Below are 26,461 nucleotides of genomic sequence, written 5' to 3' on the forward strand. Positions count from 1 at the left end.
GATACTCTATGAATATATAGTTAAAAGGTAGAAGTAATAGGTATTTGATATTTTGATATAGTACTATTATTTTGGATGTGTCTCTGTAGTGACCAAATCTTTTCACATTTATCAACAAAATCCTCTTTTATCTTAAGTTGGAAAAGGAAAGCAAGTACGTACATTAAGAAAATAACATGCACTCAATTTCTTTTTAAGTTGGATTCTTCACAGAACTTTGAATAGAGTACTAAATTAAAGTACTCATTGGAGGAATGCTTTCTCTTATATATCACCAGGATCATTTAATAGAGGAATAATATACATGTAACACATTCAAATAAAAGGAAAAAATATGCAATTCATAAAAAATATATCTAAAACTCAACTGCCTAAACTCAAGTGTGTTTTCTAAGATCATTATATTAAAGTTTCATTGAATTAAAATTAAAGCTGAATCTTAGCTTCTGATTGGTAAGTAACTCTCAGGGATATGTTTTCTTGAATTATTGATTTGTTTATCACACATTGTCTCTCTCTAATCCTCATTATTTCTTTATGATAAAAAGCAATCTATATATTAAAAAATAAACTAAGGGAATACGCATTGAAAAGGCTCATCAGTGAGTCTTTTGTCTTGAATAATTAATCTAGTAATGTTTGATCAGGATGGGCTAAATTATGCCACAGTAAGAAACTCTCCCAAAATCTTAGTAGTTTAACACAACAATATTTCTTGTTTGTCCTTGATGTCCAAAGCAGGTTAAAAATGATGCTTATTCAAGCAACTTATTCAAGTTACTCAAGGACAAATATTAATGGAGCCTCCAGTTTCACATAAGCATCCACAGTATTTTGTTTAAGATGAAAGAAAAAATGATGAATCTTATACCAGCTTTGAAATCTTTCAACCAAAATTGAGATACAACACCTTTGCTCATACTATATTGAGCAAAATAAGAGATGCCATGACAAAAACTTCAAGCAGGCAGTTAAATGTAATCCTACCATATGCTTCAAAGTGGAAGAACCAGAAATATTTGGTAAATAATCATAAATAAGTAGCAGAGTCTCCATTTCTGGGTTCCAAGTATTCACTGTACTCTCTATTCCTCAAACAGAATCAGTCGTATCTTTCCACGTTAAGAAAACTCAAGTTTTGTCCAATCACCAAATCAAGCCAAAGTCCATTAATCCTTGGTGATCTGTGGCAGTGACTTTTCTTGATTAACTAAGGCAACAAACAAAATGAATAAACCTTCATTTTCAATTACCAATAATCACACCCTGGAGAAACCTCATTGATTACGATACTGCCAATGTACAAAGTGGTATGCAGCCTTTTCAGATTGGCTTCTTTCACTTAGCAATATTCATTTAATGTTCCCCATGTCTTTTTGTGGTTAAATAGCTCATTTGTTTTGATCATGCAATTATATTACAACATATTAATGTATCACAGTTGGTTTATCCATTCCCCTACTTAAGGACATCTTGATTGCTTCCAAGTTTGGGGAATTAAGAATAAAGTTGCTATAAACAGTCATTGCTGGGTTTTGTGTAGAGATAAATGTTCAACACATTTAAGAAATAGCAAGGAGCATGACTGGTGGATCACATGATAAGAGTGCATTTACTTTTGTAAGAAACTGCCAGACTGTCTTCCAAAAACGTTGCACCGTTTTGCATCGCCAGTAGCAATTAATGAGAATTCCAGCTGCTCCCCAGCATTTGGGATATTCAGTGTTTTTTCTTTTTTTTTTTTTTTTTTTTTTACCATTCTAATAGATATATAATGGTATCTCATTGTTACTTTATTTTGCAATTCCCATAATGACATATGATGTTGAGTATTTTTTCATATGCTTATTTATCATCTGCATATCTTCTTGGGTGAGGTGCCTGTTGGGGTCTTTTGACCATTTTTTTAATTGGGTTATTTGTTTCCTTTTTGTTGAGTATTAAGGTTCTTTGTGTATTTTGAATATCAATTCTTTATCAAATATGTATTTTCAGATATTTTCTCGCAGTTTGACTTGTCTTTCAGAATGATTTCTAGTTGTGTGTGTGGTAGGCAGAATAATGGACCCCCCAAAATGTCCATCCTCTAATCTCTGTAACCAGTAACTGTGTTACCTCATATGGTAACCCTGTAGACACCTGACTTTAGCATAGAGAGACCCATTTCAGGTTTCTAATTCCAGAATTATTAGGTAATAAATAATAAGCCTGTATTTTTTTAAACCACTTAGTTTATGGTAATTTGTTATGGCAGCAGTAGAAAACAAATATAGTATGTGAAACTAGAATTGAAAGGTGTGATAAGAAAATATTTTTAGCTTGTCAAAAAACTCAGTTCTAGGAGTTAAAAAAAAGAAGTCTGTAAACCAGATAATCTGCTGAAAATTGATTTACATGCTTATGAATATGCATGGTAGTTAAACACAGGTACAAAGAATTTTAAATAGTAGCTAGGGATCAGATACAGTTTCAAATGTTATAAGTGATATTGAAATAGTAGATAACTGAAAAAATAACCTAAAACTATGACAGACAGTGCCTTAAGTTTTTTTTTTACTTTTGGGTGAAATATTTAAGGTAATTTTTGTAAATAACATAGACGAGGGTCTTTCTTCCATCTTTGTAAACACATAAGTAAAATTTTGACATTTTATGTTTTTAATGTATATTTAACATGTGTGTGTTTTTTAAAACAGAATAGTGAAAATATTTAATTAATTTGAATAATAGAACAAATAAAAAGATAAATATGGCCCAATTATTTAAGCAATTTGTCTTCTATCTTACACAAATTACACTTAACAATTAATCAAATGGACATGTGGCAACAGATTAAGACTGCAAAATGTATTATTTAACTCTTGGAATAAACCAGAGTTTTACCTACACTTATAGAAGAAATAAATTCGGGAAGATTTTTCACATCTAAGAAGCTTAGAACATAGCAGGAACTCAATAAATGCTTACTAAATCAATGTGTTCTCATCTGGAGTGGTAGATACTAAGTGTAGGCCAAAATCTCTTCTGCTTACTAAACCATATGCCTAATCTTTTGTTAATCATAGAAAAAAATCCTGCTTATACATTTTATATTCAATCGATTTTATGGATTAAACACTTGTACGCCTTGCATTTCATTTCAAGCAAAAATAGCGATGAGTATTATTTTCTTGAAAATTTTCATAATAAATAGCAAAAGGTTAATTTCTTTATAAAAGTACATAACTATGGCTGAGTATGTAGAAAATATAGATAATTTCAAATTTAATGACATAAATCAAGGGTCCCCATCCTCTGGTCCATGAGCCATTAGGAACCCAGCCACACAGCAGAAAGTGAGTGGTGGGCAAGTGAGCAAAGCTTCATCTGTATTTACAGGGGCTCGTCATCACTGGCATTACCACCTGAGCTCTGCCTCCTGTCCAATCAGCAGTGGCATTAGATTCTCATAGGAACGCAAACTCTATTGTGAAATGCCCATCCAAGGAATCTAGGTTGCACGTGCCTTATGAGAATCTAATGCCCGATGATCTGTCACTGTCTCCCATCATCTGTAGATAGGATCATCTAGTTGCAGGAAAACAAGCTCAGAGCTGCCACTGAAACTACATTATGGTGAGTTGTATAATTATTTCATTATATATTAAAGTGTAATAATAATAGAAATAAAGTACACAATATATGTAATACGCTTGAATCATCCTGAAACTATTTCCCCCAACCCAGAGTCCATGGAAAAATTGTTTTTCAGGAAATTGGTCCCTGGTGCCAAAAAGATTGGGGACCACTGATGTAAATCACCCATAATCCCAGCAATACAATATTGTACCAAGTCATCATCCCTCATTTTTTTAATCTTATTTTATTTTATTTTATTAATTTTTTAAAAAATAAATGATTTTCTACTTTGGTAGTAAAGCTGGGGGAAACTCAGCTTCTTCCCATTTAATTTGCATATGGATATTACTATTGCCATTGATTTCTTTTTTTTTCAAATCCATTTTAGAATAAATGAAATGGATTTATACTGTATCCTGTGGATAATGAAAGCCATGACATTCAGGATGAAGAATGTTTTCCTAATAGTCTTTCAGCTCCCATTTCTGTTTGAATTAGTTCAGTTTACAAATGATGGCTCTAACTCCCACATACTGTCCTTGTTAGCACTGTGTGGCCACCAATGCATAAATCTGCTTCTTTCCTTGACATCCTCAAAATTAGTGACCTTCCCAAGAAAACTCATGTAAATTCTTTTGATGTGTTGCACAATTTATTATAGTGATTTTTAAAACAATAAAACCTAATACAAATAAATCTAAAATTAAACATAAAAATTTCTATAAGATGTGATTAATTAAATTCATTAATAATAAATTTAACAGACTACATCTCTATAACCTCATATAACTCCACAATACAGAAATTCATTTTCTAGGCCCTAGCAAGCACTGATCTACTTTCTGCCACTATATAGTAAATTAGCCATTTCTAGATTTGCATATAATGTAATGTCATATATTTAATATAAGTTTAATCATGTATCATGTCCTTTTCTGCTTGGTTTTGCTCAGAATAATCTTTTGGATAGCTATATTTTGCACGTATCCGTCTATATTTGTCATCTATATGTTACAGGTTTATTTATTTTGATTGCTGAATGGTATTCTATTTTATGGATATACCACAATTTGTTTATTCTCCAGTTGATGGACAATTGAGGTGTTTCCTGTTTTCAACTATTATGTTGAAGTTTTTTGTACATTCATGCACAAATCTAGGTGCACACATATATTTATCTTGGGTAAATGCCTAGGATTGGAAATGCTGAGTAATATGGTAACAATATGTTTATCATTGTAAGAATTGTCAAACTGTTTCCAACAGTGCTTTTCTTCTAGAAGTTTTAAGGTTTTGCTTTCATATTTATGTCTAAGTTGCATTTGAAGTCAATTTAAGAATATGCTATGAGGTCACAGTTCAGTTTTATTCATTTTTCATATGGATGTGCAATTGTTCCATTATTTTATTTTGAAAAGACTATCCTTTGTCCCTTTCAATTGGATACTTTCATCAAAATCAATTGATTACATCTGTGTCAGTCTATTTCTTGACTCTACTCAGCACCATTGTGTCTTGATAAGTCTTCTAGAAGCTATTGGTTTTGCTGATTTTTTCCCAAAGATTTTATTGAAATCTTTTGATTTTATTGCTATGATACAGTTTTTTTATTTTCTAAATCATTGATTTTTAGTCTCTACTTATTTACTTTCATTTATTTGTATTTAATTTCCAGTCTTTTTTTTTCTAATTTCTAATTTGAACATCAGTTTGTATAATTTTATCTCACTGCTTCACTAATTCATTATTTTAAGTTATCTTTGTATTTTGGTATAATTCTCCCCATATATAAAATTTGCAGTTAGTGCAGGGAATTGCCATACGTACTTCACCCAGTTTCTCCTACTGTTGGCATCTTATTTTATCAAGGTACATTTGTCAAAATTATAAAACTAATATGGGTATATTGTAGTTAACTATACTCCAGAGTTTATTGATATATTATCAGTTTACCAGGAATTTCCTCTTTCTGTTCCGTGATCCAGACCAGCTTACCACATTACATTTAAATGTCATGTCACCTTAGTCTCCTCTGGTTTGGGATGGTCTATCAGCTTTTCTTCATTTTTTATAACCTTAACAATTTTGAGAAGTTATAGGAAGGTGTTTGTTTGTTTGTTTTTTGTTTTGTTTTTGTATTTGTTTTGTTTTTGTATTTGTTTTTTTGAGACAGAGTCACTCTATGGCTCAGCCTGGAGTGCAGTGGTGCGATCTTGGCTCACTGCAACCTCTGCCTCCTGGGTTCTAGCGATTCTCCTATGTTAGCCTCATGAGTAGCTGGGATTACAGGCACCCGCCACCACACCTGGCTAATTTTTGTATTTTTAGTAGAGACAGGGTTTCACCACGTTGGCCAGGCTGATCTCCATCTGCTATCTCAGGTGGTCCTCTTGCCTCGGCTTCCCAAAGTGCTGGGATTACAGGCATGAGCGACGGCGCCCTGCCAAGGACGGTATTTTGAAATTGTCCTTCAGTTAGGGTCTGTCCGATGTTTTTCTCATGACTGGCCGGCATTATGGGTTTTTAGAAAGGATAGCACAGAGGCAATGTTTCCTTGTTACATTATATCAGGGGTTAAATGACATTCACATGGTATTACTCGTGATGTTAACCTTCATCACTGGGTTCAGGTAATGTTTTCCAGGTTTCTTTACTGGAAAGTTACTGTTTTATGTTTCTATATACTTTGGAAGCTGATAAATAAGTTTAACCCTATTACCCCCTACACACACCTTGGGGATTGATTAAGCTCTACCTCCTGAAGAGGGACCACATAGATACATTATTTGGAATTATTCTGTAAGAAAGATTTTTCTCTTCTCCTATAATTATTTATTCAGTCATATATTTATGTCAGTATAGATTTATTTATTTTAATGTCATACATTGGGTTATAATCTAATCTATGTTATGTATTGTTGCTCAGTTTGGTTTTTCACTTTTGACCAGAGGGAAATTTTTTATGTTGCCTCCTCTGTCCCTTTTCTCCCACCACACTGCTATTGGTATTATTGTTGTTTGAATTCTTCCTTCCTTTCTGGTACTATGAAATGCTCAAGGATTCTCTTATGTTTTTCCTGTTTTAGCCCTAAAATTTGCCATTTTTTCCAAGGATCTCTTAGTTCTTTTGTTGGAGAATATATTTTAGATCCCATCATCTAGGCACAGGAGTGCCATTGCTTCTAGCCTTCTCAGTCATCAGTGAATATATATGTATATTAATCAATGTATACACACATATTCATAACTTTTAGTATCTATCCATCTATGAATGCTTATTAAGCTAAATATAAATACATTAGAGTTCTCCAACTCTAATACAGTACATTGGGATCCACTCTAGACCTCCTTTCTTGCTTATTTGTAACTTTCCCTTCTGACAGTAAGAAACCTGGCTCCCAACAACACTGTTTACTTATTTATTCCACCATAATATACAAGTGCAATGGTTTTATAATTGTTAACCTCTAGCTCTAAGGTACCAAGTACAGTGTTTATTTACATATCCTTTCAGAACTTTAGCCTTACAGTTTCCAGTCTAAACATTTTTCCAAAGTTACATTAGATAAGCTCCTTATATTCTTTGCTGGTTTCTTTTTTCCCCATCTCTGTCAGTGTGGTTATATCAAACACCTGTAGAAGAGTTTGATTCATTTGTTATCCTCTGTGTGCCATCCTAGTATTCGTCAACATTCTGGCTGACTATTTTTCAATTATATATTTTGTAAAATATTGCCTTAATTGTTTTTGAATTGTCTAAGTGTAAAATTTTAAACATATATTAATTGATGCAGTTTTTCCAAAATATGTCGATATCCTAGCACATAAATTCTTGTAGAAAGATATGAGTAGTAAACACAAAAACAAACAAAACAGTTTAAAAAATACGACAGGGATTCCATTCTAGGATGAAAATAAAAATATAGCAAGGTATGTAGACAGAGTAATCTGTCAGGAATGCTCTTTTTGATAGGCTTATCAGGGAAGGCCTTTCTGATAAGAAAACAGTTTAACAGGAATTGAAGGAAGTGATGGTGTGGGCTGCAACGATTTCTGCTAGAGATGTTTTCCATGTAGAGTGAACAGCAAGTGAAATGACTGAAATTGTAGCCAACTTGTAGATGTATTCCAGGAACAGCAAGGAGGCCAGGTCCTATAGGACACTGTAAACCACTGGGGAAGGATAGAAAGAGATGTGAAGACAGCAAACTATCAGAGTGATCAATCAAATCTTATAGCGATTAACAGACAATTATAATGAAATGGATAATTTTTCTAATTTAAATGGATCTATTAAATGATTTCCCATAAGTTTTGTTGTGAAGGCTAAGTGAAGGATGGACTTCAAAGAGTAGTGAGGAATCAACTTTGGCCAATGTTGCTGGTAGGACCACTAAGATGTGGCCTATGATTGGAGAATAGCAATGTCAGTGCAGTGGCAGAATAAATGTCTTAATAAATTAGATTCAAGAGACACTGTAAAAATCAGAAGTGGATGCAGAAAATATGGACAATAGTTTCAAAGAGTTTTGCTCTAATGTGAAATAGAAGAATGGAGAGGTCATTGGAGGGATATGTGAACACAAGGAAATGTTTTATTTTAAGATGAGAGATATTATACTTGGTTTCCATGGTGATAGAAATGATTCAGTACAGAGCAAAATATGTTTGTAGGAGAGAAGGAATAATTTCATAAGTGAGTAAGCAGGAAAGGATAGAATTTTGTGTCCAAGTGGAGGAGTTTACCTTAATTCACTTAAATTAAAAAAAAAAAAAAAACCCAGAAGGGAAAGCAGTGCATTTGGGTGTAGATGAATATTTGTTGTTATGGTAAGTGCATAAGTGGGTGGGAGAAGAATGTACAAATTCTATCCTGAATGTTCCACACAGTGTAATAAGAATAAAGATCATCGGTTGATGCTCATAAGAAGAGACATGGAGCTGGAAGGAAAAAGAAGGCATGACAGAGGCATGAATGGGTGTAGCTAGTGAGTTAACAAGGGAACCCAAATGTAATTATTTGTCAGAACTGAAAATTTGCTTAATGATTGTGGTCATGATTTAATGTGAAGCAAATCAACACGGATTTCTTATTTTCTCTGCTACATTCAACTCCTTGGCTACTGGTATGATGTGTGCAGGGTTTTATTTAAATAGGATTGAGTGTACGGGGCATATATGACAAAGAGAAGAAGGTGTAAACAATTGATTATATAGATATTGTGCTGGGAGTTTTTTTGCTAAAATATAGTATTAAACAATGGAATATAAGCAAGAAGTAAGACTATGAGTGTATGAGGATAAAAATATAATCTTATTAAGAAGTAATAGGGTAGGAAAAATATTACAGTTGAATAACTAGATTAAATCAATTGAAATTTTAGAATGTTGTATCTGGCGCTAAATGTAAGACTGTGGAAGGAGTTCAGATCTAGGATATGATTATTGATATAGTGATTGAGATGGGGTGAAAAACAAGATCATCTGAGTTGGGAAAGTAAAAGAATGAGTAAGATCTTTTATATCAATATTAAATTCCTAAGAGTTGTGACAAATTGTGATGGAGAAAAATGAACCAATTTCTAAAATCCTTGAGAAGTGAGAGTATACTAGGTGGCATATAGAATTCCAAAAGAAAGAGTAGTAAATAATGTAGCTGAATATCATGAGGTGTTTTTTTTTATTGTTTGTTTTTGGAGAGTCATGTAGAAGAGAATAAAGGTCTAACTTCTTGAAGTACTTGAGGTGTGGGAGAGAAATAGTCTGAATGTACTACAAAGGAAGGTGTGTTCTCTGGGGTTAGCCAGAATTCAGTCTAACCCCTAAGGTAAAATTAGTTCCATCATAATTTTATGTTAATAGAAAAAGAGTGCAGTTGGAAGTCTTCATCTCATAATCTAAATATTTTCAGTGTTTAAATAAAGCTCACAAATCACTAAATAAATTGAGTTCTATCCTTCTACTTCATAAATGTATTTTTATTTTGATAAAATGTGTAAAGTATTTTAAAGTGACCAAAAATTAGTAAAAGATCAAAGATGATTGAACTTAATTATCCTTCTGTATGTATATGCTCTGTTGATGGGACAGAAATATTTGCATGAGTGATAAAATGAAAATACTCATCACTCTTGCATTATTACATATTTAATTCAATTTATTTTTCTCATTTTAGCAAAATCATTACTTCCACTATTCTAATATTTTCACACAAGTTGTGTACCTATTAACAAAAATAACTGAAACAATATACTTTCATAAAAGTGTAAACTGACAATGTAAAGCTTTAAAAATAAACTTCATGCCTTCAAAAACTTTTTTCTAAAATATTTGAAATTATTACAATTGAGGACAAAAATAAGAAATCAAAATAACAAATCAAAATTATTTGAGAAGTGCAGATTTTTTAATTTAAAAATTAATTCAACTGAATTGAATATATTTGGCAAAATTCATTTCTAGCAGGCAATAATCATCCAGTTACCTATGGGAAGAGTCAGAATTATGCCTTAAAGATGTTTTTTCTATATGTATTTCACATGTAGAAATCTTATATATAGTATTAAATACTTAATATTGTGAGGAATTCATACCTCCACGTAATTAGAAATCATTTACTCTATTGCGAATGTTTTACTAATTTGTGACTACCTCTATAATCATAATTGAAACAAAAATAAATATAGGAAAATAGATGTTGAGCACTACTTGGAAATAACACTTCCATATGTAAGAATTTATTGCATTCTTGCTGAATGGAAGATCTGAAAGTTAATTAATCTGTCTTTTTCCTTCCTTAAGCATTTCTGCTGTTCAAATTCTCTCTGCATTTCATGACAGCATCTACATTCAAGATTCCCAGAGGCACCATCCACAAAGCTCTACAGCATTTAGATGGAGTTGCAATTTGTTTCTAAGACAGAGGACAAGAAATATGAAGAAGCCTTTCCCTGGAGGCTGATCCACGTGATTCAGGAGAGGAAATGTTTAGAGTTAGAAAGACTCCATACAGTGCCTAGCTCCAGATAAGGCTCATGGTTCTTTCACAGTTATGTGTGAATATGAATGTGGCTTTTATATATGTGGGCTGCTTTTTAAATGAAAGGTAATTTTCTTTTTTATCAGTCTGGGAGACAAAAACCAATGGATGTGTGAAGTATTGGAGTGATGTTAACAGGAGCCCTGAGTGCACTGACTGTCCGCCTTGCAGTCCCACACTGTCGGCCTAGAGACCAGAGGAAGGATCTAGGAGCAGGGAGAGATCTGTGGCTCCTCTTTGTATTCCCTCTAATGAAGGTGTGAAGGTTAGAGGAAAAATACTGTTACCCAGGTCATTGAAAATACCACAGGTAATTTTAATTTCTACTGGATTACTGTAATTTTGTTTTCTTTTTTAGTTTTTAGATTTTTTTATCATTGACTCTTGCTTTTTTATTATTAATAGTCATATTGGCTACATAAAATGTATAACAAACATTACATTATTTAGTATAATCTGTAATAAGCTATGTAAAATGAGAACTACATGTCCCTTAAGAGTTTAAAAGAACTTTGAGTAAAACTGCATTTCTTTGAAAATTTTAAGGAAAAAAAAAAGATATTTTAAAGTTTTACAAAGTGAAGTCCCTCTAATACCAAATTTTCTTTGCAGTCTCTTAGTCAGGATAGAGTTACTGAGCCTCTATTTCAGCATTCTAGATCCAAACAAAAAGTGGCAATCACCTCTTTGATTGATGATTTACTGTATTGGAGGACTTTGAGAATTTATTTTAAAATTAAGTATATCCAAAAGATAATTTTATTTATGAGAACTGTAAATATCTGCAGACATTTTCTCTTTCCTATTCTAAAACTTACTAAAATTTTAGATACAGGAATTCTCTGTTGAAAAAAATATATATATGTATAGATAGATACACACGTATATATATACGAAATGTGAGAAAAAATATATATATATATTCCTTTGATGGTCTTTAATATTTAGTTTAAAAACTTTAAGGAAATCATAAAACTTTTAAATTTCAACTCTCTCTAAGATTATATGGGCAGTTAAGTTTAAATATAGAGCATATATTTCTTCAGTTAAAAGGAAGTGTGTATTTACTGCTGTTCAATTAGAAAAAGCAATTAACACCTGCCTAATCATAAGCTACACTGTTTTTTATGTTTAGATTTTCAAAATAGAGCTTGCCCATAAGGACATCTACCTACTGGGGAACATAGAATTATTTTGAAAAGTTTGTTAAGAATTGGCTGATTACTTGACCTAAGGATTTAATTCAGCATGAATACACAAAAGAAAGAAAATGTATATTTGCTTGTGTTCAAGTCTGAAATTAAGCTTTGGTCTACGGTTAAATTAATACAGCCCTGAGAACACCTTGTCTTAACTTCCTAAAAATTAATTTTGAGAAATAGATTTAATAGTACCAAGGTACATTGTTGTTATAATGAAGAAGGCGAGAATAGTTTTTATTACCTTAATTGACGCGCTTTTATAAAACGTCATTTGCATCTGGATTCTAAAGGGAACGTGAATTATTTTTGCACGATTATGATTTGGAGTAATATTGAAATATTAAAAAAATTCATCCTTTTATTCTTAATTGAATTCCAATGCAGTAACTTCAAAACAATGGAAATAGCATGAGGCCAGAAAGGGGAAAGGGAGTAGTTGACACTTTGCATACCACCAGTAACATGGAATAGGAGGGATGCTACAATTATAGGATGCTACTAAATATGAAAATTTATTCATTAATTCAGCATTTGTACACTGAGCATCTACTATGTGTCAGCTATCAAGTATGTAATGATGAGCGAAGAAAAAAAAACAAAAAACAATAATCAACCCAAAAAGTAATACTGTCATGTAGATTATAGCATTAAGATTATCCAAAACTTAAACATTCTACAAATAGATGTGAAATTAATTACAAGTGTTAAAGTGTTATTACTGCTACAAAAGAAAGGTAATGTTTTGCAAGATCATAGAATAGTCAACTTAACCTTGTAGAAAGATCAAGGAAGTCTTCCCAAGGAATTAAATGATACTTTCATTATCTTTGCTTTACCTGTGAAGAGCTGAAGTACAGTTAAATAACTTGCTAAAGTTTTCACAACTGCTAAGTGATAAAGACAGGACTGGGATCCATGCACTGGTGCCAGAGCCTACAATATTAACCCCTCTAATATACTGTCCGCCACTGAATTCCTTACTATAATGTCAAGAGTTTATTAGGCAAGCTTCATCAGGTTGACTAAGCAATGGTCATCAAGGGAACAGTAAAGAGAGGTTAGGAGAGAGGAATAATTAGAATTATAATAACTCAAATATGCAGCAACCTCACGAATTAGGAAAGGAAAAGAAAAAGAAAAATAAATAAATGTATAACTAGCCTTGAATCTAGTTTATGGAAATAAGTAGTTTTCATCTAACAGTCTGCATAGGAAACTACATAAGCTCAATTCACAGAATGAAGATAAATGATTATTAAAAATAATCCTCATCTATGACAGAATACTTTGTGCCCACTCCCAATCATATCATTTAAAGCTAAATTACCAAAAGCATGTCATTTGTCTTTGAATTTCAGGTTTATTAACTGTATAATGGCAATTGAATTACCTTTCCTGGAATTAAAGGTAAACAGTCTTTTCCCCACATTATTCTGAAATTGATTTTGCTTTGAAGATAACATGTACACTTACATTGTGTTTCTGTTTCATGAAAATCTATTGTTAATGCTAAATATTTTAAAATAATGTTTTCATTCATTAATTCAATGAATACTTAGAAAATTCTATTGAAGATACTGGACAAAATTAAGAGAGGCATAATTTTGGAGCTTACATTCTATAGGAGGAGAAAGAAAATTAACAAGTAGACCAAGCCATGTATAAATACAATTTATGTTTATAATTGAATATGGAACATGCAGAAGCCATTCTCAAATGGATAACTCTAGTCTGGGTGGAAATCAAACATTTCTTGCCCAATGTACCAATGAGACTGTACCATAATAATGTGTAAATATTCCTAATATAAATAATAGTATAAGTAATATTTGCTTCAGTGCTTCAATTTCTTAATCAAATACACTAAAGAATAATTGTGGATCTTTAATTTCTACATTTTACATTTACTTTGCTGAATAATTATTATATTTATAATATTACCAATATTTAATAACCTACTCTACTGTAGTAGGGCTTCTACGGTAGGAAAGCTAAGATTGTAAATCCTATTATAAAGTTTTGTTTTTCCCTTAAGCAAAACAACTCCTATTTTTTTTGTGTAAACTCATTTTTCTACAATAATTGGATGTTTTAAAGAGACATAGTTATTCTTCTGGTATTTTCTATTTTATTTTTTCACTGCAAATTCATCACCTCATTCTGTTGACTGGATCAAATTTATTATTAATGTATCACCTGGGCTGTCAGTAATTTTTAACATGTCAATATTTTCCAGTATTTCTAGTAAGTATGCTTTACCAGAAACATACATATTTTATAGTTTTTCTTTGCTTCTTAAATTTTCCTTTATTTATTTTCAGAAGTCTTTGTCTTTCTTTTCACTGAGAAAGTCAACCATGGTTTATGGGTCAGCTTAATTTTTTACTTAAAGGAGGTCTTTCCTAATTACCTAATTTAAATTGATATCCACTCAGATTGTTCTGTTTTATTGTATCCTAATGTTTTCCTTCATCTGTCACATTTCAAAAGTATTGCTTATGTAAGTCCTCAAAAGTATTGCTTATGTAAGTGTTTTAGCATACACTTTTCCTACCACTTGGAGTCTCATGGTCCCAGTGACTACGTGGGTTTTGTTCACTGATACATGCCCAGTTTTTAGCACAGTGCCTTGTACAGAGTATGAAATATTTTTCCTGTAAAGAAATGAGTGTTGGATGTTACAGTCTGTGATAATAAGGAAAATCCTGCCCTTCATTTGTTACTTTCTCTTGCATAAGAAATACTTCACTATTATTTACCTTAATTCTTATCTCAATTCTAATATGCATGCTGGTTTGTGCCATTGCTAAGCTCTTTTAATTGCAAAAGACAAGAATATTTGTTTTTAACAGAGTAATTTGTTATGATTCCACATCCTCCAACAGTGTCATGGTACAAACATAAAATATAATAGAGAACAATGACCAACTTTTATCTCCTTATTCTAGTTTTTATCTCCTTGTGAATTAATTTTAGAACTCAAAACTTAGATAAAAGTATCTATGGAGATTTCTTCCTTTTCATTTTACTTTACCTAATTTTATTGGCTTGAAAGACCTCATTGTGCTTAATTAATATCAGTGATCAAATCTATTATGTTCACTTTCACTATGTAGGTCTTTAAGGGGTACCAACCACTCAAATAGTCAAAAAGTCCATGTATAACTTTTGACTAACCCAAAGAGTTAACTACTAATAGCCTATTATTGACTGGAAGCCTTACCAATAACATAAACAGTCAATTAACACATATTTTCTATGTGATATGTATTAGATACAGTATTCTTACAATAAAATAAACTAGAGAAAGGAACATATTATTAAGAAAATCATATGAAAGAGAAAATATGTTTACTATTAAGTGGAAGTGGATCATTACAAAAGTCTTCATCTTTGTCATCATTTTGAGTTGGCTGAGGAGGAGAGGAAGAGGAAGGATTGGTTTTGCTGTCCCAGGGGTGGCAGAGGGGGAAGGAAATCTGCATATGAATGCATTCATGCCATTCAAACCTATGTTGTTCAAGAGACCACTGTAAATTAAAAAGGCATCAGATTTTTTCCCCTTGTTTCAATCTTTTCTCCTATGCCTACAAATAAGATGTGATAAATGTTAGACTAAGTGATCTAAATAACATGAGCACTGGCCAAGGATATTACTTATAACATGTGATGAACTTACACACATTTTAAAAATTATTTTGTTTTACTCTGTCTGAGATTTGATTGCCACTTCACCCCACCCCCTCACCTTAAAATGCTTGTACCAAGGGAACTGGAGTCAGGGAACTGAAAAGAGTAAAGTATAGAAGGAAGAAAAGTCACTCTAAGAGTTGTTGTTGTTGTTGTTGTTTGCTTATTTGTTTGCTTAGAGACAGGGTGTTGCTCTGTCACCCAGGCTAGAGTATAGCTGTGGGATCATGACTCACTGCAGTCTTGAATTCCTGGGTGTAATTGATCCTCCCACCTCAGCCTCTTGATTAACTGGGACTACATGCACACATCACCATGCCCAGCAAATTTTTTAAAAATACATTTTTTTGGTAGAGATGAGGTCTTGTTATGTTGCCCAGGCTGGTCTCAAACTGCTGGCTTCAAGCAAACCTCCTTTGTCAGTTTCCCAAAGTACTGGGATTACAGGCATGAGTCACCCTGACTGGCCCTACCTAAGAGTATTTTTTAACACTGATTTCTGCTTTGAGCCACTGGGTCTTGATCCTTCTAAAGACAGTGTAGAATCTACTTGAGAATAGAATGGAATGGAATTCAATGGAATGGAATTCAGTGGAATTCAATGGAATTCAATGGAACAGAATGAATCACATAAATGCAACTGAGAATTTTCTGTCTGAAAAATGGAAGGTGGGGATTTTATAGCCATCAGATCCCATCCCTTGTTCTTTAAAGGTGTGTAAGAGTGTGCATGTGAGCAAGCTTGGCAGGCATCCAGGGAACAAAAGCACAGGAGCCCTAAGAAAGAAAGAAAAACTTAGGCTTTGTGAATCTGTCCCTGTGTGCAGCTGGAGGCCACAGGAACATTCAGGACACAAAGATGAGCTAAGAAGTTGTCATGTGTGGTATAAGATGTCTGGCCAACATTGTGATAGGAAAAGTAATAGATCTAATTATGGTTCATTATTAAGATTCAAGAAAAACGATAAAAAGGGACAAGAAAGAAAAAAAGCACTGATGATACCACTGCTCAGATAAAAATCATTTATAACTGGGACATTTTTTAGAATACCAGACCAGAATTCTTTCAAATTTCAAAGCAATGAGTAACAATAAATAAGTAAGCAACTGTCAAAGACCAAAGGAGGTTGAGGAGAAATGACTAAATATAATGTAATATCCTGTATTAGATCTTGGTCCAGAGAAAGAATTTTTAAAAACTGGTAAAATGTAAATAAAGCCTTTTGTTTAGTTAATAGAAATGTACTAATTGATACAGGGCTGGCAAGCCCTAAAGTGGAGCTTAGCCCAGGAGGGGGTTCTTGGCCTTGCCCAGGAAAGAATTCAAGGGTAAGCCACAGGTAGAAGTAAACAACTTTACTGAAGAGGCAGTGGTACAGCTCTATGATTGCTACTGCAGAGCAGGGCTACCCCATAGGCAGAGAGTAGGAGCTCAGGGCTGTTTTGCAGTCACATTTATACCTACTTTTAATAACATCCAGATTAAAGGGTGGTTTATGCAGAAATTTCTAGGGAAGGGGTAGTAACTCTTGGATCATTTGTCATTGCCAAGGAAAGAGGTGGTAATTCCCAGGTATTGCCATGTAACTGACATGGCACACTGGTGGACATGTCTGATGGAAAGCTTCTTCCACTGCAGCCCTGTTTTAGCTAGTTCTCAATTTGGTCTGGTGTCCAAGCCCTGGCTGTCAGGCCTCTGAGCCCAAGCTAAGCCATTATATCCCCTGTGACCTGCACATACACATCCAGATGGCCGGTTCCTGCCTTAACTGATGACATTCCACCACAAAAGAAGTGAAAATGGCCTGTTCCTGCTTTAACTGATGACATTGTCTTGTGAAATTCCTTCTCCTGGCTCATCCTGGCTCAAAGGCTACCCCACTGAGTACCTTGTGACCCCCACTCCTGCCCACCAGAGAACAACCCGCCTTTTTCCTTTACCTACCCAAATCCTGTAAAACGGCCCCACCCCTATCTCCCTTGGCTGACTATCTTTTCGGACTCAGCCTGCCTGCACCCAGGTGATTAAAAGCTTTATTGCTCACACAAAGCCTGTTTGGTGGTCTCTTCACACGGATGCACATGAAATTTGGTGCCGTGACTCAGATCGGGGGACCTCCCTTGGGAGATCAATCCCCTGTCCTCCTGCTCTTTGCTCCGTGAGAAAGGTCCACCTACAACCTCAGGTCCTCAGACCGACCAGCCCAAGAAACATCTCACCAATTTCAAATCCGGTAAGTGGCCTCATTTTACTCTCTTCTCCAACCTTCGTCACTATCCCTCAACCTCTTTCTCCTTTCAATCTTGGTGCCACACTTCAATCTCCCAATTCTCTTAATTTCAATTCCTTTCATTTTCTGGTAGAGACAAAGGAGACACGTTTTACCTGTGGACCCAAAACTCCAGCGCCGGTCATGGACTAGGGAAGGCAGCCTTCCCTTGGTGTTTAATCATTGCAGGGATGCCTGATTATTTACCCAGGTTTCAGAGGTGTCAGACCACACGGGGATGCCTGCCTTTGTCCTTCACCCTTAGCAGCAAGTTCCACTTTTCTAGGGGAGGTGCAAGTACCCCAATCCCTTCTCTCCATGTCTCCACCCCTTCTCTGCTTTTCTGGGTGAGGGGCAAGAACCCCTCAAACCCCTTCTCCTTCACCCTTAGTGGCAAGTCCTGCTTTTCCAGGAGAAAAGAACACCCAATCCCTTATTTCCGCACCCTGACCTCTTATCTCTGTGCCTCATCCCTTATTTCCATGCCCCGACCTCTTATCTCTGTGCCCCAATCCCTTATTTCTGTGCCCTGACCTCTTATCTCTGTGCCCCAATCCCTTATTTCCATGCCCCGACCCCTTTCTCAATTTTCTGGAAGGTAAGAACCCCTGAACCCCTTCCATGTCTCTACTCTCTCTTTTCTCTAGGCTTGCCTCTTTCACTATGGACAACCTTCCACCCTCCATTCCTCCGTCTCCCTTAGCCTGTGCTCTCAAGAACTTAAAACCTCTTCAACTCACACCGAACCTAAAACGTAAATGCCTTATTTTCTCCTACAATGCCGCTTGACCCCAGTACAAGCTCGACAGTGGTTCCAAATAGCCAGAAAAAGGCACTTTCAATTTTTCCATCCCGCAAGATCTAAATAATTCTTGTCTTGGACTAAAATAGGCAAATGGTCTGAGGTGCCTGATGTCCAGGCACTCTTCTACACATCAGTCTCTCCCTAGTCTCTGTGCCCAATGCAACTCATCCCGAATCTTCCTTCTTTCCCTCCTGCCTGTCCCCTCCGTCTCAACCCCAAGCATCACTGAGTCTTTCTAATCTTCCTTTTCTACAGACCCATCTGACCTCTCCCCTCCTCCCCAGGCCGAGCTAGGTCCCAATTCTTCCTCAGCCTCCACTCCTCCACCCTATAATCCTTTATCACCTCCCCTCCTCACACCTGGTCCAGTTTACAGTTAAGTTCCATGAGTAGCCCTCCACCACCTGCCCAGCAATTTACTCTTAAAAAGGTGGCTGGAGCTAAAGGCATAGTCAAGGCTAATGCTCCTTTTTCTTTATCCCAAATCAGATAGCGTTTAGGCTCTTTTTCATCAAATATAAAAATCCAGCCCGGTTCATGGCTCGTTTCGCAGCAACCCTGAGACGCTTTACAGCCCTAGACCCTAAAATATCAAAAGGCCATCTTATTCTCAATATACATTTTATTACCCAATCTGCTCCCGACATTAAGTAAAAATCCAAAAATTAAATTCCGGCCCTCAAACCCCACAACAGGACTTAATTAACCTCGCCTTCAAGGTGTACAATAATAGAGGCAGCCAAGTAGCAATATATTTCTGAGTTTCAATTCCTTTCCTCCACTGTGAGACAAACCCCAGCCACATCTCCAGCACACAAGAACTTCCAAACGCCTAAACCACAGTGGCCAGGCGTTCCTCCAGAACCACCTTCCCCAGGAGCTTGCTACAAGTGCCAGAAATCTGGCCACCAGGCCAAGGAATGCCTGCAGCCCGGGATTCCTCCTAAGCCGTGTCCCATCTGTGCAGGACCCCACTGGAAATCAGACTGTTCAACTCACCTGGCAGCCACTGGAACTCTGGCCCAAGGCTCTCTGACTCCTTCCCAGATCTTCTCGGCTTAGCGGCTGAAGACTGACGCTGCCCGATTGCCTCGGAAGCCCATAGACTATCACGGACGCCAAGCTTTAGGTAACTCTCACAGTGGAGGGTAAGTCCATCCCCTTCTTAATCAATACTGAGGCTTCCCACTCCATATTACCTTCTTTTCAAGGGCCTGTTTCCCTTGCCTCCATAACTGTTGTGGGTATTGACAGCCAGGCTTCTAAACCTCTTAAAACTCCCCAACTCTGGTGCCAACTTAGGCAATACTCTTTTAAGCCCTCCTTTTAGTTATCCCCACCTGCCCAGTATGATTATTAGGCTGAGACACTTTAACTAAATTATCTGCTTCCCTGGCTATTCCTGGATTACAGCTGCATCTCATTACAGCCCTTCTTCCCAATCCAAAGCCTCCTTTGCATCCTCCTCTTGTATTCCCCCACCTTAACCCACAAGAATAAGATACCTCTACTCCCTCCTTGGTGACCGATCATGCACCCCTTACCATCTCATTAAAACCTAATCATCCTTACCCCACTCAATGCCAATATCCCATCCCACTACATGCTTTGAAAGGATTAAAACCTGTTATCACTCACCTGCTAGAGCATGGCCTTTTAAAGCCTATAAACTCTCCTTACAATTCCCCCATTTTACCTGTCCTAAAACCAGACAAGCCTTACAAGTTAGTTCAGGATCTATGCCTTATCAACTAAATTGTTTTGTCTATCCACCCCATGGTGCCAAACCCATATACTCTCCTATCCTCAATACCTCCCTCCACAATCCATTATTCTGTTCTGGATCTCAAACATGCTTTCTTTACTATTCCTTTGCACCCGTCATCCCAGCCTCTCTTCACTTTCACTTGGACTGACCCTGACACCCATCAAGCTCAGCAAATTACCTAGGCTGTACTGCCACAAATCTTCATAGAAAACCCCCATTACTTCAGTCAAGCCCAAATTTCTTCCTCATCTGTTACCTATCTCAGCATAATTCTCATAAAAACACACGTGCTCACCCTGCCGATCGTGTTCAACTAATCTCTCAAACCCCAACCCCTTCTACAAAACAACAGCTCCTTTCCTTCCTCGGCATGGTTAGATACTTTCGCCTTTGGATACCTAGTTTTGCCATCCTAAAAAAACCATTATATAAGCTCACAAAAGGAAACCTATTTGACCCCATAGATCCTAAATCCTTTCCCCACTCCTCTTTCCGTTCCTTGAAGACAACTTTAGAGACTGCCCCCACTCTAGCTCTCCCTGACTCATCCCAACCCTTTTCATTACACACAGCCGAAGTGCAGGACTGTGCAGTCGGAATTCTTACACAAGGACCAGGATCGCGTCCTGTAGCCTTTTTGTCCAAACAACTTGACCTTACTGTTTTAAGCTGGCCATTATGTCTCCGTGCAGTGGCTGCTGCTGCCCTAATACTTTTAGAGGCCCTTAAAATCACATACTATGCTCAACTCACTCTCTACAGCTCTCATAACTTCCAAAATCTATTTTCTTCCTCACACCTGACACATATACTTTCTGCTCCCTGGCTCCTTCAGCTGCACTCATGCTTTGTTGAGTCTCCTGCAATTACCATTTTTCCTGGCCCAGACTTCAATCCGGCCTCCCACATTATTCCTGATACCACACCTGACCCTCATGACTGCATCTCTCTGATCCACCTGATGTTCACCCCATTTCCCCACATTTCCTTCTTCCCTGTTTCTCACCCTGATCACACTTTGTTTATTGATGACGGTTCCACCAGGCCTAATTACCACACACCAGCAAAGGCAGGCTATGCTGTAGTACAAGCCACTAGCCCGCCTCTTAAAACCTCTCATTTCCTTTCCATCATAGAAATCTATCCTCAAGGAAATAACTTCTCAGTGTTCCATCTGCTATTCTACTACTCCTCAAGGATTATTCAGGCCGCCTCCCTTCCCTACACATCAAGCTCAAGGATTTGCCCCCGCCCAGGACTGGCAAATTAGCTTTACTCAACATGCCCCGAGTCACAAAAACTCAAATACCTCTTAGTCTAAGTAGACACTTTCACTAGATGGGTAGAGGCCTTTCCCACAGGGTCTGAGAAGGCCACCACAGTCATTTCTTCCATTCTGTCAGACATAATTCCTCAGTTTGGCCTTCCCACCTCTATACGGTCTGATAATGGACCAGCCTTTACTAGTCAAATCACCGAAGCAGTTTCTCAGGCTGTAGGTATTCAATGGAACCTTCATATCCCTTACCATCCTCAATCTTCAGGAAAGGTAGAAGGGACTAATGGTCTTTTAAAGACACATCTCACCAAGCTCAGCCTCCAACTTAAAAAGGATTGGATAGTACTTTTACCTCTTGCGCTTCTCAGAATTAGAGCCTGTCCTCGAGATGCTACAGGGTACAGTCCATTTGAACTTTTATATGGACACACTTTCTTGCTTGGCCCCAACCTCATCCCAGACTCCAGCCCTCTAGGCGACTATCTTACAGTCTTCCAACAGGCTAGACAGGAAATTCGCCAGGCTGCTAATCTTCTATTGCCTACTCCAGATCCCCAGCCATATGAAGACACCCTAGCTGGACGATCAGTTCTTGTTAAGAATTGACCCCTCAAACTCTACAACCTCAATGGACCGGACCCTACTTAGTCATCTATAGTACCCCAACTGCTGTCTGCCTGCAGGATCCTCCCCACTGGATTCACCATTCCAGAATAAAGCTCTGTCCATCAGACAGCCAGCCTAATCCCTCCTCTTCCTCCTGGAAGTCGCAAGTACTCTCCCCTACTTCCCTTAAACTCACTCATATTTCTGAAGAACAGTAATAACCCTTATGAGCCTAATACATCCCTTCATTCTGTTAGGTCTATTCGTCCTTACCCTACTTTTTGCAACGGGGCTTTATGACGTCACCCCCACCACTTAGGCTGAGCCCCAAAAAACTTGTCATCCCTACTATTTTCTGTCTAGTCATACTCCTATTCTCCATTCTTAACTACTTATAAATGCCCTACTCTTGTTTACACTGCCGGTTTACACTGTTTCTTCAAGCCATCACAGCTGATATCTCTTGGTGCTATCCCCAAACCACTACTCTTAATTCCCTCTTAGAGTGGGTAGATGATCTTTGCAGGCAGGGCACCCTCCAATACTTCCACCCTGATGAAGTTCTATTCTTCACTTTTATACTCACTCTTATTCTCATTCCCATTCTTATGCCACCCTTTACCTCTCCCCAGCTATCTCCACCACACTATCAACCTTACCCATTCTCTCCTAGACGCTTCTAATCCCTCCTTAGCGAACAACTGCTGGCTTTGCATTTCCCTTTCTTCCAGTGCCTACACAGCTGTCCCTACTTTACAGACAGACTCGGCAACATCTCCTGTCTCCTTACACCTCTGAACTTCCTTTAACAGCCCTCACCTTTACCCTCCTGAAGAACTCATTTACTTTCTAGACAGGTCCAGCAAGACCTCCCCAGACATCTCACATCAGCAAGCTGCCACCCTCCTCCACACTTATTTAAAAAACCTTTATATTAACTCTACTCCCCCCATATTTGGACCTCTCACAACACAAACTACTATTCCTGTGACCGGTCCTTTATCTATCTCTCGGCAAAGACCCACTGGAATTCCCCTAGGTAATATTTCACCTTCTCGATGTTCCTTTACTCTTCATCTCCAAAGCCCAACTACACACATCACTGAAACAATGGGAGCCTTCCAGCTCCATATTACGGACAAGCCCTCTATCGATACTGACAAACGCAAAAACATTAGCAGTAATTATTGTTCAGGAAGACACTTACCCTGTATTTCACTCCATCCTTGGCTACCTTCCCCTTGCGAGTCAGACTCTCCTCCCAGGCCCTCTTCTTGTTTACTTATACCCAGCCCCGAAATAACAGTGAAAGGTTGCTCATAGATACTCAATGTTTTCTCATACACCATGAAAATCGAACCTCCTCCTCTACGCAGTTACCCCATCAGTCCCCATTACAACCTCTGACAGCTGCCGCCCTAGCTGGATCCCTAGGAGTCTGGATACAAGACACCCCTTTCAGCACTCCTTCTCACCTTTTTACTTTACATCTCCAGTTTTGCCTCACACAAGGTCTCTTCTTCCTCTGTGGATCCTCTACCTACATGTGTCTACCTGCTAATTGGACAGGCACATGCACACTAGTTTTCCTTACCCCCAAAATTCAATTTGCAAATGGGACCGAAGAGCTCCCTGTTCCCCTCATGACACCGACATGACAAAAAACAGTTATTCCACTAATTCCCTTGCTGGTGGGTTTAGGACTTTCTGCCTCCACTATTGCTCTCGGTACTGGAATAGCAGGCATTTCAACCTCTGTCACGACCTTCCGTAGCCTGACTAATGACTTCTCTGCTAGCATCACAGACATATCACAAACTTTATCAGTCCTCCAGGCCCAAGTTGACTCTTTAGCTGCAGTTGTCCTCCAAAACCACCGAGGCCTTGACTTACTCACTGCTGAAAAAGGAGGACTCTGTATATTCTTAAATGAAGAGTGTTGTTGTTTTTACCTAAATCAATCTGGCCTGGTGTATGACAACATAAAAAAACTCAAGGATAGAGCCCAAAAACTTGCCAACCAAGCAAGTAATTACGCTGAATCCCCTTGGGCACTCTCTAATTGGATGTCCTGGGTCCTCCCAATTCTTAGTCCTTTAATACCCATTTTTCTCCTTCTATTATCCGGACCTTGTATCTTCCGTTTAGTTTCTCAATTCATTCAAAACCGTATCCAGGCCATCACCAATCATTCTATATGTCAAACGTTTCTTCTAACATCCCCACAATATCACCCCTTACCACAAGATCTCCCTTCAGCTTAATCTCTCCCACTCTAGGTTCCCACGCCGCCCCTAATCCGCTTGAAGCAGCCCTGAGAAACATCGCCCATTATCTCTCCATACCATCCCCCAAAATTTTCGCTGTCCCAGCGCTTTACAACTATTTCGTTTTATTTTTCTTATTAATATAAGAAGACAGGAATGTCAGGCCTCTGAGCCCAAGCTAAGCCATTATATCCCCTGTGACCTGCACATACACATTCAGATGGCCGGTTCCTGCCTTAACTGATGACATTCCACCACAAAAGAAGTGAAAATGGCCTGTTCCTGCCTTAATTGATGACATTGTCTTGTGAAATTCCTTCTCCTGGCTCAAAGGCTCCCCCACTGAGTACCTTGTGATCCCCACTCCTGCCCACCGGAGAACAACCACCCTTTTTCCTTTGCCTACCCAAAGCCTATAAAACGGCCCCACCCCTATCTCCCTTGGCTGACTATCTTTTCGGACTCAGCCTGCCTGCACCCAGGTGATTAAAAGCTTTATTGCTCACACAAAGCCTGTTTGGTGGTCTCTTCACATGGAAGCGCATGAAACTGGCTCTAGCATCAAGTCCCGCTTCCTACCTCAGAATGTTACTTTTAAATTCAACAAATATATCATTGTTATTTTTTTAAAGTTAACATTAGGGAAACTGGGTGAATGGAATATGAAAACTATCTTTGCAAGTTTTCACTAAATCTATAATTATTCCAGATAAAATTTGTTTTGAAAATGACACACAAATATGGATTTTTCTTGCTGTATCATCTTTACACATATATACATAAAATATTTTTTGTATTTACCAATTGTCATGGTGTAAATATCAGAGGAGTGGTGCATACATATTTGTAGACTTACACATGGGTATATATTTCCTGCTGACCTGAGTTTACAAATTTTTTAGCAAAAAATAATCTATATAAATTAACAATTGATTTTTAGGCAAATTTAAAAAGTAAAAAGCTAAATTTAAAATTGTTTCTTTGGCATGATTAGAAACAATTCATATATTTTCATATATTTTCTATCTTGATTAGCCCCCTTTCAATAAAGTAAATGTTTAGAGTCTGAATCACAGGGAGGTATGATTGTTTTTTATCAGGCCTCATATGTTTATCCTAAAAAATCTCAAGTGCTTTTGAAGGGAACACCTGGAGCTAGAGGAAGAACATTAGCACAACATCAGCTAGCAAGATCATAGCTGACCCATATGGTGTTGACTTGTGTCACATACTCTTCCATAAGGCTCACATATACTAACTCATTTCACCTACATAAGAACCATATGAAGTAGTTGCTATTATTATAATCTCTGTTACTGATGAGAAAATCGAATAATAAAAATTTGCCCAACTTCGCATAGCTAACAAGAGGTGGATCTAGGATTTAAAGCAAGCCAGTCTGGCTCTCAAATTACTCCCCAGTTTGGGAGTTTGGCAATATTTATAACCTAAGAAACAGCTCAAATTTGACATGTGGACAATTATAGGAGCTACTGATATTTTTTAATGGATTGCAATATGGAAGGACACAATTGCTTTCCTTTACTTGCTACTTCAGTATTATGTTTGCATATTGAAACATGGTCCTATTGAGGTTGCTCTTTTAAAAGAGGAAGAACTTTAGCTTGCATGAATTAAATAATTAGTTCAGCAATAAAACCCTATTAATATACTTTAAAATATTAAATAGATGATGGATTTATGGAGGATTAATCAGCAAGAATTTGAGTCTGATGTCCTTAGGTGACTTAAGCAATAGGGATTTTGCCTAAGTCAGAAGTACAGGAGCAGCGTTTGACAATACCCTTTAACATTAACTAAACATGTAGGATTGTTAAATTTGAAAATAGTGACACAGGACAAAAGTGTCTCCTCTGAAGTACCTCATCAATTATGGCAAGGTAATACTCAAACATT

At 36.9% G+C, this 26,461-nt stretch overlaps 1 long non-coding RNA gene across 1 annotated transcript in view, besides 1 other annotated feature; it reads left to right on the top strand.

Moving 5' to 3' along the window:
• LOC105378029 (uncharacterized) overlaps positions 1–15,417 on the top strand; it is a 47,734-nt gene extending 32,317 nt beyond the window's left edge. Inside the window, exon 3 of the long non-coding RNA XR_943077.3 lies at positions 10,420–15,417. This is a non-coding gene — a long non-coding RNA (uncharacterized LOC105378029). The remainder of the gene's footprint in view (positions 1–10,419) is intronic.
• Positions 24,327–25,209: an enhancer, noted in NCBI's record as "OCT4-NANOG hESC enhancer chr6:141781053-141781935 (GRCh37/hg19 assembly coordinates)". NCBI's record gives its function as "activates a minimal SCP1, AML or CMV promoter by ChIP-STARR-seq in naive and primed H9 embryonic stem cells {active_cell/tissue: H9 hESC(naive and primed)}" and the evidence as "EXISTENCE:reporter gene assay evidence [ECO:0000049][PMID:30033119]".

Source organism: Homo sapiens, chromosome 6 (genome assembly GCF_000001405.40).
Source record: "Homo sapiens chromosome 6, GRCh38.p14 Primary Assembly".
Lineage (NCBI taxonomy): Eukaryota > Metazoa > Chordata > Mammalia > Primates > Hominidae > Homo > Homo sapiens.